The following is a 15282-nucleotide window of genomic DNA, read 5'->3' as shown; positions in this document are numbered from 1 at the left end:
TTACAGATTACATAACTGAGGTGCAGTTACTCAGGAAGTGAGGGAACCAGGATTCAAGTCAGCCAGTCAGCACCAGAACCCACACACTGAATCTAGTCCCGAGATTGGGGTTGGAATCCAGTCCTTTCTCCCAGTCTGCAGGCCTCCAGTACCAGGAGCTCAGTCGAACAGGTTTTACAAACTCCTTTCAGAGATCTGGCATACAAATGAATGATGCAGGCTAAGGGTATACAAACTTTCTTTTGTTCCTGAAACAAAGCATTGTCTCAGTGTTTCTTTGCTTTTTTTTTTTTTTTAATTAGGTAGAGATGTAGGTGCTGGAAATACTTTACTGTATTCTTAGCTCTGTGAATGCCAGAAAACAAGTAAATGCAGATAACATAGAAGCAGAATCTGAACTCAGGGAACAGCTTTCCTTCCAAACAGTTTGCCTTGCATGCATGTGGTGAACAGGGAACACTTTTACACTGCAGGTGGGAATGTAAATTAGTACAGTCACTATGGAAAACAGTATGGAGACTCCTTAAAGAAATGAAAGTAGAACTACCATTTGATCCAGCAATCAACTACTGGGTATTTATCCAAAGGAAAAGAAGTCATTACATAAAGAGGGCACATGCACACACATGTTAATAGCAGCACAATTCGCAATTGCACAGATATGGAACCACGCTAAGTGCCCATCAATCAACGAGTGGATTAAGAAAATGTGGTATATGTACACCATGGAATACTATTCAGCCATAAAAAGCAACGAAATAATGTCTTTTATAGCAACTTGGATGAAGCTGGAGGCTGTTATTGTAAGTGAAGTAACACAGGAATGGAAAATCAAATATAGTGTATTCTCTTATAAGTGGGAGCTAAGCTATGAGGACACAAAGGCATAAGAGTGATATAATAGACTTTGAGGACTCAGGGGAGAAGTTTGGGAGGGGGTGAAGGATAAAAGACTACCTACTGGGTGCAGTGTACACTGCTTCAGTGATGGGTGTCCTAAAGTCTCAGAAATCACTACTAAAGAACTTATCCATGTAACCAAAAACCACCTGTACCCCAAAAAACTACCGAAATTAAAAAACAAAAAACCATGAAATGGATGTCTCATCACCAAAAAACAAACAAACAAAAAAAAAAACAAAAGAAGTTTGTCTCGGGAAACAGTTGGGGTTTTCACAAACTTGCTGAGCATCACTTAAGGCCTATGCTTCCTAAGGCTACAGGCAAGAATGTTAGAGACTGTCTTTTAAGTTATTTAGTTTTTGCATCTTCCATTAAAAAAAAAGGTAGGGTGATAAATCACAGATAGATAAAAAGCTTTTGCCAACATGAGCTTCTCTCTGCAGCAACTGGCCTTCAGAAGGCAGACTGGGGCAGCCTGCAGATCTGCCTGCAATTCCTGGTCCTGACTGTTGTTCTGCAACTGGAATTAAGGAACCAGACAACGTGCCCAAGATTTATGGATTCCATTGTTTATGATATGTGTTCCTCACATATGTTCCCTCTGTCTCACCCGACAGGGAACACCACATCACAAGGTCTGTGGGAGTTGGAGAAAACTCTCGCTGACTCCCTGAATATAGTCCCAGTGGGAACCACCTTGGGGAGAGGCTCTGTCCAGCTGAACCCTCCAGTGCACAGTATGCTTGGCTGCAGAGGCTTGGAGTGAGAGAGGAGACCAGGGTCCAGCTTCTCGGACAGCACTCACTGGGGTAGGTTGTGTCTGGCACATTTTCAGCAACTGCTTTCAAAGTAATAATAATAGGAATTATAATCTAAAAAGAATGGCTTCCACATGTCGCTCTGCTTGTTTAAAATCCAGGTTCACAGCCCTACTTCTTGAATTCCCAATTAAGAAGCGTCTGAAGGAATCCAGTGATCTCTGTATTTAACTATCTTTCAGAATAATTTATCAGCAACTAACTACGACATTTGAAAATCACTGATCTAAAAATGTCAACATCCTGTTCACAGACATTTCAAAGTTTCCTGAAATAATAGTTCAAGACTTTCTTTTAGAGTGACTCCCCTATGATACAAAGCAAATGCACGTATATGAAAGTATATAATGACCAGAATAGTCTGGTAATCCAGTGAGTATCTATGATGTGCTAGGCACTGCACAGAAAAGTTTACAGGCATTACTGCATTTAATCCTTTCTGCAGATTTTATGGGGAGAGGGTTATGAATGCACCCATTTCACAAATTATAAAACCATGACTCAGAAAACAAGAGCTGCCGGAGGTCACACAGCTAGTGAGGAACAGAGCTGTGATTTGGGCCCAGGTTAATTTTATTTCCATTTGATTCCTTCTTTGATGAAAACTGGGAGAAATCAGTGTTTTGTTTTTCCTGAAAAGGAAATTGAAATAGGAGAGAGTTTGGGGATCTGTATTAGTTTTCTGTGGCTGCTGTACCAATTTACTACAAGCTTGGTGGCTTAAAACAACAAAAATGATGTGTTTTCTCACAGTTCTAGAGGCAAGAAGTCTGGAATAAGTATCACTGGGCCAAAATCAAGGTGTCAGAAGAACTTCACATCCCCCAAAACCTCCAGGAGAGAAGCCATTCCTTGCCACTTCCAACTTCTGAGCCTCCAGATATTCTTTGACTTGTATCTGTGTCACGCCAATCTCTGCCACTGTCTTCACATGGCCTTCTCTTCTGTGTCTCTCCAATTTGCCTTTGTATTTCTCCTATAAAGACACTATCATTGGATGTAGGGCCTACCTGGATGATTGAGAATGATCTCCTGTCGAGATCTGTAATTATATCTAAAAAGGGCCTTTTTCCAAATGTTACATGGTGAACATGTTTCGGGGGAACTAGCATTCAACCTGCTACAGCGTCCTCTAGCTAGGAAGTGGTAGAAGCAGGACCTAATGTAGATCTAGCCACAATCCCACATGGATTGCTTAGACTGCATCAATTGTGAATGACAGACACCCAGTGCAACTTAAGCTTTCTGCATTGCTGTTGAATAGGGGGAGGAGGAAATGGTGGATACAGAGTCACTGTAGCTGAAGATGCCAAAGGTAGACATTTCTAGTTGCAGACATCATCTACATTTTGTGGTCAGGGCTCAAGCCATCTCTTGGGCAGGCTTTCTTCACCCAGTAGGTGAAATGTCTTCTGTTAGCTCAACACCCACAGTCCTCTAGTGTGGCCAGTGGAAAGTGACTTCTCTTTCCATTAACTCAAGAGAAAAAGCCCGAAAAGCTTTGGCCCTGCCAAAATCACATCACCCTGGTGAAATCACATGATCAGCCCTAAACCAATCACTCTAGCCAGGGAGATCATTTATTCAATAGCAATAATAAATATATATTGAGTACATTCTATGTGTCAGGAATTCTTCAAGATGTATAAAAATACCCCAGCAAACAGAAGACAAATTCCTACCCTCATGGAGCTTATATTCTAGAGGAAAATACAGACAATTAACATATAAACAAATTTTAAAAACTGTCATTCAAATTCAGACAGAGAGTAGAGCTATGTAATAAATTAATTAGGGCAATGTGCTTAAAAATGGCCAGAGGTGGTGTGGACTCCTTTAGCCGGTATGATCAGTTAAGACCTCTCTGTAGAGGTGGTAGATGAGGTGCAACTCAAGTCACGGGAGGCAACCGTTTAAAGATTTGTGGAAGATCATTCTAAATGGAAGGAATAGCAGGTGCAAAGACAGTGGGGTGGGAACAACCTTAGAGGAACAGAAACATGGACAGTACAGCTTGACTATAGTCCATGAGCAGGAGAGAGTATGAGATGGAGTACTTCAGTGGTGAAACTGGGATCTCAAAACCAAAATGTGATTTCCAACCCATCTGCTCTTTAACTCTTTTCTACACAACCTTGCTCAGGAGAGGTATGTCTGTCCACCAAGCATAGGTCTCCTGTGCATTGTGTCACCCCTCTCACTGCATGGCTAGAAGATGTTCTTTGAGCAGCTGGAAGATTGTAAATATGACACCATCTATTTGGTGGGTGATTTTTGCTCCTTCTGGTATAAGAGGATATAAGTGGGGAAATAGAACAAGAGTTAACAAACTCTGTAAGGTCTCATTGGATCTTCACCCTAACTCAAACTTGGTCCAAACAAAACTCTTTGACAATATTTAGGTGTGAGTAGGGGAGTTGATAAATGATGTTTTCTCTCTTCTCTTCTTTTTCACTTTTATACGCCTCTGGGTTGATGGTTTCTGGCCAAGGCCAGAGGTACTAAAATACCACAAGAAAGGAGAACTTTGAAGTGATCATCTGTTCAGCCAAGAAGGAGGTGGTGCTGCCTGAAGGTTCACCAGGAATGCGGTCTTCTGGAGCTTTAGACAGAGTTCCTAGGAGGCCCCCAGAGACAGACAGATGCCTTGGAGTTGATTTGGAGAAACATCTGAACTTCTGGATGGAGTTCTGAGCCGAGCCTGAAACCCTCTGGGAGCCTTCATTTGCTCCCAGACAATCCATGGAAACACCTGTTCCAAGTCTGAGCTGACTGGACCACCGCCTTTGATTTTGGAAAACTCAGAGACCAGATCTTGAATCGTCCTTTCAGAATGTACTCTGGAATTCCTTGTTCTTCAGTGCAAAGATTTAGATAAAGTTATCTGACCATGTGAATGACAGATCTGAGAATGTGATGACTTTATTGATAGGTCCTACTGGACAGTTCCTTGGCCCAGCAGCATCAGCACCTCCTGGGATCTTGCTAGAAATACTAAATCTCAGGCCCTACCCCAGACCTGCTATTTTAGAATCTGTAATTTAACAAGATCCCAGTTAATTAGCATGCACATTCCAGTTTGAGAAAAGCGGCACTAAAAAGCTTTGTCAAATAGGCAGTGTGCTCCCATTTCTCGGTATTGTGCCTGTGACAGGCATCAATAATCAACCAGAGAATCACTTCCTTCTGAGAGCAGAATATTCTCAAGTCATGGTTTCAGGTCGCAGTGACCAATCAATGGGAGTTGGATCAAAATTAAACCTATCTTCCATACTGGTGTCAACACTTGAAGAAAGCTCTTTTATTTCCACCCATATACACATCATACATGCCTGATAAATGTTTGTGGAATGAATGTGTTTTCCCCTAGCCTTGTTTCCTGTGATATTCACACTATTCCAGTCCATACCCACAGAAAATCAGAACTTCACTGGGCATCTGGGAAGTTCAGCAGCTGTTCTAGGTGTTGGATTTTGCTATTGGCCATGACCCATTAGAAGGTTGAGGTGAGGTTGGAAAGATGTTAGGGATGGAATGAAGACACTTGGGAACCCATCTCGCTGTGGCACATGGACCTCAAACCATGCAAGTTTTCTTTTTTCTTTCTTTCTTTTTTTCTTTTTCTTGAGATGGAGTCTTGCTCTGTCTCCCAGGCTGGAGTGCAAGGGCGCGATCTCGGCTTACTGCACCCTCTGCCTCCCAGGTTCAAGCTACTCTCCTGCCTCAGCCTCCTGAGTAGCTGGGATTACAGGGGCATGCCACCATGCCCAGCTAACTTTTGTATTTTTAGTAGAGACGGGGTCTCACCATGTCAGCCAGGCTTGTCTCAAACTCCTGACCTCAGGTGATCCGCCCACCTCTGCCTCCCAAAGTACTGGGATTACAGGCGTGAGTCACCATGCTTGGCCGCAAGTTTTCTTCAGGACATGGCCCCATGTAGTCCAGCTCTACAAGGTGGCTGCTGTGTGAACTAGGCTACATGCCGAAACGGGACTGTCGGGGGAATCAGCAGGGGGGGCAGACCAACAGCCCTGTAAGACATAGCAATAATGATTATAAATAGCATCCTTCTGACCGCCTTTTGATGTACTGTCCAAGGCCAGGTGGAAAATCTTTCCTCCCCTGCCTTTCCCCACTAATCACCTTCCCCTCATTTTTCAATAAAGATTCTGAGCCCAGTCCGTTGCTTGTCAGGAGCATTTGTTTCCCATTAGAATACCTTTTGCGATTTCGGTTTGTTATGCTAGATAATTGCTTTAATAACAAACTGAGGAAAGACTTTTGAACATTTTAGGAAGTAGCTTTTTTTTTCTTCAGTGAAAATTAACAGAGACTGACAGAGAATTTGGGAATAGTGAAAGAGAAGAAAAGAGGGCTTGGGGAGGTGGGGGTTTGGGGAAGTTCAACCAGTGGGCGCAGGTGAAGATCATCAGCAGGCAGAGAATTGTCAGGGGCATGGATGCTTGTGAATGGAAGGGGAAGCTTAAATATTTGGCAGGCTTGTCGGGGGGTAAGCGTGAAGCAACGTTACCTGTCGTCGGGGATAAGCGTGAAGCAACGTTACTTGTTGAGGGTAAGCGTGAAGCAACATTACCATTTTGTCTTTCCTGTGATTAAAAGGGATAGCGTTCCAGGGTATGTGTTGTCTTCCCCCCGTGGTGGGAAATGCATTTGGGAGTCATGTCCTCATAGAATTTGCCCATCATACCTAGGAGTACCCAACATATTCTGTGTGTGAGTGATTAATCAAAACATGCGAAATGGCTGAACAAATTTATTTGTTACTTAACAAACAGAAACAAGAGTGCTAAGTATCCTACCTAATCGCTCTTCTACATTTTGCCATGTTAAAAAAAAAATCAAGAATGGATAACACTTATAGAGTGTTTACTATGTGCCTCAAACTGGTCTAGCCCCTTTACATATATTAATGTGCATACACTTTGCAGCCAGCTCATTTTTATCTCTATTTTGTGGATGAAGAAACTGAGACGCAGAGAGGTTAAGGTTAAAAATGCATAATGAGTAAATGGCAAAGATATATTTGGGTGCTGGAAGTCTAACTCCAGAGTCTATGTGTTTCAGCCTCTCCATGTACTTTGTCTCAGTGATAATTGCAGAAACTGTAGTATTGGGCTACCTTGTATTGATCCCCTGCTGTAAAAACAAAAACACTAAGTAGCGTTTATCGAAAGCCCTGTGTGCCAGGTGCTGAGCTAAGGCCATTGCATGAATAATAAGTTGGAGGATGGTAGGGGTGGGGCCACTGCGGTTGGCCAGGAAGTATCGATGTTATTCCAGACTAGGGAGGGGTGATTAGGGGAGGTGACCAGATTCAAAACATATTAGGAATATTTTAGGATCTGTGTGTATAGGACCTAGCAATTGATCAAGCATGGGATGTGAGCAGAGAATGATGTTCCCGTTGTGTAAGCAAAACAATACTTGATCCCTGGGGAGGAGGAATCTCTGAAAAGGCTCCTACTCTGGCAACTGTGGGTGGTAAATCAGTTTCATTTCTTCTGCCAAATCTGTGGAATAAAAGCAGCTACAGGGTAGAGAGCTGGCTTTTTATCCAATGCCATGTTCCATAGTATCTAGAACAGTGCCTTGCACCTTTGAGGCCCTGGATTGATAGTTGATGAACAAATAATTGGAAGTGGCTGCCGCAAGAATTGAGACTGCATCTGGACTCACAGGATGGGAATCTGTCAACATTGGCTGTGGGTGTGGAGAGGAGACATAGAGAGCATATCCTGTTTATCTGGAATCCCACGGGGAAATTTATTTACTCTTTTGTTCATTCATTTATTCAATCACTTACTTATTCAGCAAACATTTATTGAGCACCTACTATGTGTCAGGTCCCTGAGCAGAACTCTAGGGATACGGCATTTAAAGCAACAGACGTTGTCTGTGCCCTGATGGCAGCAGAGGACCTTGACTCAATATTTTATCAGATCCAAGGGGAGCTTACAAGCCCAAATCCTGGACTACCATGAGGTCAATTGATCCTATTAGTGCCTAGAAGCAACAAAGGACCTTTCTGGAAGAAGTAGTGCTCACAGCTTCCAGGAGCAAAGGTCCTGAACTTTTATGACCCACTTCCCTTTGTTCCCTTCACCAAAGTATGTTGACTTACATGCAAAACACAACAGCGTCCACAAGCAAGGGCTAGGAGCCTCATTTGATGTCTTCAACTTGTTCTACTGTTCACTGGGTCATGTTGCCAAAGCTCAGACTGAGTCAGCTTGTCCAGCTGTAGAACGGGTTCATATGTGCTCATTAGAGAGCCTTGGGGTACTTTGGCATGGGTATCTCAGGGGCCCTGGAAACTGGTAATGATCATAATAACCTGTGATACTTGTACAACTCTCTAGTCTTTTCAAAGAAAGCAGCCACATCTAAGTTACTCCACAACATCTTGGGGGCAGAAAAAGTAGGGTTATTATCCCAATTTTATGGCTCCAGAGACACAGACAGGTTCAGCGACATGCCCAGGTCCACAAAAAGAAAACTGTGATAAGGTTGATGTTGAAGGGACTTGGAAAAATGAATGAAAGAGAGTGAAATAGCAACACAAACACGTGTGCATGTGTGTGTGTGTGTGTGTGTGTATGTGTGTGTGTTTCACTCCCTACAAACCTCATGGCATGTTCATGGCTGTGAATAACTACTTTTTTCCCCTCCCTCCCTCCTTCCCTGCCTTCCTTTATTCCTTTCCTTTTTTTTTATTTTTGTAGTATTTATTTACCTCAGTGACTAATATGTTAACTTCTCCCTTTAACTAATATGTTAAATTCTCCAGCTCAGTGGAAATTTTATTCCTCACTGAAAGCTAGAGGCAGCACTGTATGCTCTAGGGCAGGGGTCCCCAGCCCTCAGGCTGTGGACTGGTACTGGTCTGTGGCCTCTTAGGAACTGAAACACACAGCAGGAGGTGAGCAACAGATGAGTGAGCATAACCACCTGAGCTCCGCCTCCTGTTAGATCAACAGCATCATCAGATTCATATAGGAGCGTGAACCCTAGTGTGAACTGTGCATGCGAGGGATCTAGGTTGCACGCTCCTTTTGAGAATGTAACTAATGCCTGATGATATGAGGTGGAACAGTTTATCCCAAAACCACCCCCACCCCAACCCCCAATCCATGGAAAAATTGTCTTCCATGAAACCATTCCTGATGCTGAAAAAGTTGGGGACCACTTACTGCCGTAAGGGAAAGCTACACCCAGGGACAGTTGGAACAGAGTGGAATATGATGCAGAACACGCATGAATTCAGGGGTGCAGGAGCCAAGCAGAGCTACAACGTCTGTCTCCAGTGGCAAATGAGAGGGAGATCCCAAGAGTGCATGGTGGATAAGAGACAGGAGAAGCCATCCCCCTCAGGAACTCAGCTTCCCGAGCTCAGCTTGCAGTGCAGAGTTTTACGTGCTCAGGTTGAGGAAGTGCTTGCTTTTCCTCTCCCGCTTGCCAAAGTTCTGTGTTAGGGGTTTCCAGACTTTAGTGTGCCTAGGAACCACTCAGGGAGATCATTAAAAATGCATACTCTGGGGCCCTGCCCCCAGAAATTTGAATTAAGTAGGTTGGGGGCAGGGCCCAGGAACCTGAATTTTCACAAGCAGCTAGCGTACATACCTCACTTAAAGAATGATCACAATATGCTGACATGACACATCTCGGCTGTGATAGAAAGGTAGAGGTTAAAAAAACAGGAAACTGAGGTCTCAAGCAGAACTGTCCTTGTCATTGGGAGCGTCACTGAGGATGAATATACCCTCTTTCCCTTCCCTTGAGTTTGAATGTCTGCTTCCTATCAGTTGGTGGGAACTGAGGAGGCCAAGCCAAGGAGGTTTTTTTTGTTTGTTTTTAAATTTGTGGCAATGTTTTCCAACTTGAAGTAGAGTTTGGGGAAAGATGGGGGAGTAGAAAACAGGATTGGTGAGAGAAGATGGTATGAGAGACCAAGAGGAAGAGGGAGACAGTATTTATTGGCCACCTACCGAGTGTGAAGTGTGTTATGCATATTGACTTCAATATCTAATATGTACAGCTCCTTAGGATGGCTGGAATAGGCTTTGAAGGCAGGCAGGTTTGTGTCCTAATCTTGACTCTGTCACATATAGCCTGTGTGATCTTGAACAACTGACTTCACCGTTCTGAACCTTGGTTTCAACATCTGAAAAATGGGAAGGGTTATAGCATCTACCTTATAGGACTGTTGTAAGAATCAGTTATCCCCACCCATAAAAAATGTATTTATTGAGTAACTTCAGGCATAGATAGAGACACCAGAGATACACCAGTAGGCAACTCAGGGAGAAACCTTACCCTCGCAGGACACATATTCTAGTGGATATGCACAAAATTCTTGGCATGAGCCATGAGTGGACATCATTATCACCAAGGACACTGAAGCTTGGGAAGCTCAAGTCACTTACTCCCAGTCCCACAGTTGGTTAGAGGCCAAGCAGGGATTTGATTTTTGGCATGTTACATTCTAAAGACCCTGCTCTTCAGATCTCCCTTAGTCAGGGGACAGGAGGGAAAACCCAGTTTTAGAATTCATAGAGAAGAGTAGAACTCTCAAAGTAGAGGAATGAAGATAGGTCTTCTGGAGGGTCTGCTTGGAGAGAGAAGACAAGCCTAGGCTGGTGTGACTCATGGGTCTTGTTGCTCTAACAAAGCTTTTTTTCTCTTCCTTTCCCTGGGAGACTTGGAGTTAATCAAGAAACCCAAACAGGAATGACCCAAGATTGAACTAGTCTGGCAAGGAGTGGTACAAGAAAGAAATCAGCCAAGAGCTGAATCCATTCCAACAAACAAGGGTATTTCTTGGGTATGGGCCAGGGTAGCACCAACTGTGAGAGCTTCTACAGCATAGTCTAGCGGATGCAGGAGAGGAGCGGGAAACTTATTTTTGAACTTGGAGCTCTCAAAGACGAGAAGGAACCTGGCTATTCTTAGCTGTGTCTGGGGGCTTAGCAAAAGCTTTCTTGCTGAATTATAGACAACAAGAGCATTTATTCACTCACTCCCTGTTGCAGCCTGGCTGCTAAGCAGATTCCAGGAGATGTTATCTGGAAGGTGCATCACTGTGTATAAATATTTCAGAGGTCAAGACCCAACACAGAGCTTGAACTTTTCAGGGCCTAGATGTGTTTATCAAGGGATGGATGTTTAGGCTTCGTTTCTGGGTGTTGGGTAATCTTGCAACCACTTTAGAGAGCTGCTAACAGCAAATTCTGGTTGCCTTATGAGGCTCACAATGGAGTCCAGCAAGCATCAAAAAAAAAAAAAAAAAATCTGCTTGCACGGATAGGTTCTGGTTTTGCAGCTTTAGAGCATTTTCGGACAAATGTCCTTAAATCAAAAGGTTAGAAAGTCTAACTGTTCCACGAGGATTTTCTGCAGAAGTGTTTCTAAATTTTTATTATTGTGGAATGAATATTTGGAGAACTTGTTAAAATGTAAATTTTGTTAGGAGGTTCAGGGTGGGACCTGAGACTATATATTTCTAACCAGCTTCCAGGTGCTGTGAATCCTGTTGGTCCTTGAACCAGAATATTTCAGTGGCAAGTTTCTAGGGTCTTTTGACTGGCTTCTTATAGCCACATTGCCTATTATGCTGGCTGGAAAATTCATTTGTATCAGTTAGGAATACATTCAGCTGCAAGTAATGGAACACACAGCTTCAGTGGCTTAAATAGATAAGGAATTTTTAAAAATTAATTATTTTTTAATTGACAAATAAAAATTGAATATATATATAGTATATAACATAAATATGTTTTGATATATATATAAACTGTGAGGTAGCAAAATCAATCTAATTAACATATTCATTACCTTTCATTTTTGTGTGTGAGTGATGAGAGCTGTTTTGTGTAATAAGAACATGTAAAATCTACTCTGTTAGCAGTTTTCAAGATTGCAGTACACTGTTAGTAACTACAGTCACCATGTGTACAATAGATATCCTCAACTTCCTCCTCCTCTCTAACTGAAATTTCGTGTCCTTTGGCAAACATCTCTCTATTTCCTCTCCCCTGCCTCCAGCCCTTGGTAACCACCATTCTACTCTCTGCTTCTATGAGTTTGACTCTTTTTCAGTTTTCATATAAAAGTGAGATCATGCAGAATTTGTCTTTCTGTGTCTGGCTTATTTCACTTAGCAAAATGTCTTCGAGGTTCATCCATGTTGTCACAAATGACAGGATTGCCTCTTTTTAAATGTTTAATAGTATTTTATTGTGTTTATATGATCCCCAAAGCACAGGCAACAGAAGCAAAAATTGACAAATAGGATTACATCAAACTAAAAGGCTTATGTACAGCAAAGGGAACAATGAACAGAGTGGAAAGATGACCTACAGAATAGGAGAAAATATTTTCAAATTGTACTTCTGATAAAGGATTAATACCCAAAATATATAAGAAACTCCTAGAACTCAAGAAAATGAGTAACCTGATTAAGAAACAGGCAAAGGACATGAAAAGACATTTCTCAAAAGAAGACCTACAAATGGCCAACAGGTTTATGTAAACATGCTCAATATCACTGATCATCAGGGAAATGCAAATGAAAACCACAGTGATTTATCACCTCACACCTGTTAGAAAGGCTATTATCAAAAAAAGATCGTGAATGTTGGCCAGGGTGTGGAGAAAAGGGAACTCTTTTACACTGTTGGTGGGAATGTAAATTGGTGCAGCCACTATGGAAAACAGTATGGAGGTTCCTCAAAAAACTAAAAATAGAACCATTTGATCCAGCAATCCCGCTTCTGAATTATATACCCAAAGGAAATAAAATCAGTAAGTCAAAGAGATATTTGCACTCCTATGTTCATTGTATTATTCATATCAGCCAAGACATGGAATCAACCTAAGTGTCCATCAATGGATCAATGGACATGGATGACAGATTTGGAAGCCACCATATACAAAGTCCAGAGGACCATTCCAGTGGCTGACTGTTAGCATCAGTGATCCCAAGATTTTCATTCTTCCTCCCCTCCATGCATCCTCAACATCCTCCATACAATTCCATCCCTGGATGGAATGTTTATGCTTCTTGCAAATTCATATGTTGAAATCCTAATACCCAAGATACTGCTGTTAGGAGATGAGGCTGTTGGGAGGTGCTGGGTCATGAGGGCAGAAGCCTCATGAATGGGATTAGTGTTCTTATTTAAGGGGTCTGAGAGAGATCCCTTGCTTTCCCCTTCGGCCATGTGAGGTTACAGTGAGAATATAGTTGTGTATAAAGATCAGGACCTCATCAGACATGGAATCTGCCAGCACCTTGGTCTTGGATTTCCAGTCTCCAGAACTGTGGGAAATACTTTTTTGTTGTTTGGAAGGCTCTCCATATATGGTATTTTGTTATAGCAGCTCAAGGATGCACACAAATGCAAAAATGCCTGTTGCAGCTTCAAGCCCCATGTCCACATTCCAGTTATGAAGAGCATCCAGAAAGGGGGTTTTTCCCAAGACCCTCAGTTATGTCTTTTTGGTCAACACTGAGTGCTGTGGCTTTCTTGAACTCCACAGAGCCTGGGATCACAAATATTGTAACTGAGTACCTTGCTACTCTGAACAATATTGCAGTTCTGTTAAGTTGAGGAAGAAGGGATGGAGTGGATATTGGGTAGGGAGCTAGTAGTATCTGCCATCCTGTTTCTTAACAATCTACACCTAAAAGCTACCATTGGAAGCAATTGGACACTGCTGAACTTAAAAAAAAACTAAACTACCATTATTAAGAACTTACTATGTGCTAGGCACTGTTTGAAACAGTTTATATGGGTTATTCTATTTGGTCCTTAAAACGCTTTGAGGTAGAGATTCTTAGTATTCTCAATGAAACTTGTTTCAATTTCTCAGATATGTCATGTTACTCTCTACCATGGGGCCTTTTTATGAACTGTCCCTATTATCTATAATGTTCTCCTTGAATCCCCTTTGCCAGTTTGTGTGCTGGTAAATGTTTAATAACTGGCTTTCTAGGTAGGGGTGGGTGGATAATAAAACAAAAACCTCGTCTACAGCACTTGCCAATTTCTGTGGTGGAAATACTCCCACCATGGCCAAGTTTCAAGCTACTAACATGATGTCACTGGACAAAAAGTTGGGATGAGAAGGATCATAAAACCTCATTATATGGCATTTCCCTTATCAGGGAGTGATAAGTTGTGAGAATTTATCGCTTTGTTTTTAATATAGCATTTAAAATTTTATGTTTGTATCATTTAATTCTTAATAAGCACTGTGCTTAATAACCAGCTTGCACAGTTCCTGAACATTGCACTATCACTTCTCACGAGGCGTATGGGCGGGCTTGAGCATACCACAGCTGATGTCCAAATGATGCCTACTCTTCCTTCAGATTCCAATTCCTTCTCTTCCTAGGGAAGCCCTCCATGCAGCTCGCACCATGTGGCCTCACAGACAGAACTCGTCTTCATGGGATTTAGTATTAGGCTGGTGCAATTATAATAGAATTATAACTTTGCATTTATTTGTACGAGTCTTTGAATCCTGTCCCATTGGGCAGGATTCTGTCTTTATTCTTTTTGTTTGTTTGTTTTCTGTTTATTTATTTATTTATTTATTTATTTATTATACTTTAAGTTTTAGGGTACATGTGCACAATGTGCAGGTTAGTTACATATGTATACATGTGCCATGCTGGTGTGCTGCACCCACTAACTCATCATCTAGCATTAGGTATATCTCCCAATGCTATCCCTCCCCTCTCCCCCCACCCCACAACAGTCCCCAGAGTGTGATGTTCCCCTTCCTGTGTCCATGTGTTCTCATTGTTCAATTGCCACCTATGAGTGAGAATATGCGGTGTTTGGTTTTTTGTTCTTGCGATAGTTTACTGAGAATGATGATTTCCAATTTCATCCATGTCCCTACAAAGGACATGAACTCATCATTTTTTATGGCTGCATAGTATTCCGTGGTGTATATGTGCCACATTTTCTTATTCCAGTCTATCATTGTTGGACATTTGGGTTGGTTCCAAGTCTTTGCTATTGTGAATAATGCCGCAATAAACATACGTGTGCATGTGTCTTTATAGCAGCATGATTTATAGTCCTTTGGGTATATACCCAGTAATGGGATGGCTGGGTGAAATGGTATTTCTAGTTCTAGATCCCTGAGGAATCGCCAGACTGACTTCCACAATGGTTGAACTAGTTTACAGTCCCACCAACAGTGTAGAAGTGTTCCTATTTCTCCACATCCTCTCCAGCACCTGTTGTTTCCTGACTTTTGAATGATTGCCATTCTAACTGGTGTGAGATGGTATCTCATTGTGGTTTTGATTTGCATTTCTCTGATGGCCAGTGATGGTGAGCATTTTTTCATGTGTTTTTTGGCTGCATAAATGTCTTCTTTTGAGAAGTGTCTGTTCATGTCCTTCGCCCACTTTTTGATGGGGTTGTTTGTTTTTTTCTTGTAAATTTGTTTGAGTTCATTGTAGATTCTGGATATTAGCCCTTTGTCAGATGAGTAGGTTGCGAAAATTTTCTCCCATTTTGTA

At 42.1% G+C, this 15282-nt stretch overlaps 1 long non-coding RNA gene across 12 annotated transcripts in view; it reads left to right on the top strand.

Annotated features, from left to right (window-relative positions):
- The window catches only part of LOC124903082 (uncharacterized), an 85010-nt gene that overhangs the window by 49552 nt on the left and 20176 nt on the right, over window positions 1-15282 (top strand). For 5 of the 12 annotated variants that reach the window (XR_007063592.1, XR_007063595.1, XR_007063593.1 and 2 more), the window contains 2 exons: window positions 1521-1712; window positions 2475-5899. This is a non-coding gene — a long non-coding RNA (uncharacterized LOC124903082). Of the gene's footprint in view, window positions 1-1520; window positions 5900-15282 lie in introns of those variants that run through there. The other 7 variants (XR_007063590.1, XR_007063600.1, XR_007063598.1 and 4 more) reach the window with 3 other exon arrangements.

This window comes from Homo sapiens, chromosome 12, assembly GCF_000001405.40.
Source record: "Homo sapiens chromosome 12, GRCh38.p14 Primary Assembly".
NCBI classification, from domain to species: domain Eukaryota; kingdom Metazoa; phylum Chordata; class Mammalia; order Primates; family Hominidae; genus Homo; species Homo sapiens.
This window is presented reverse-complemented; position numbering and strand designations above follow the sequence as displayed.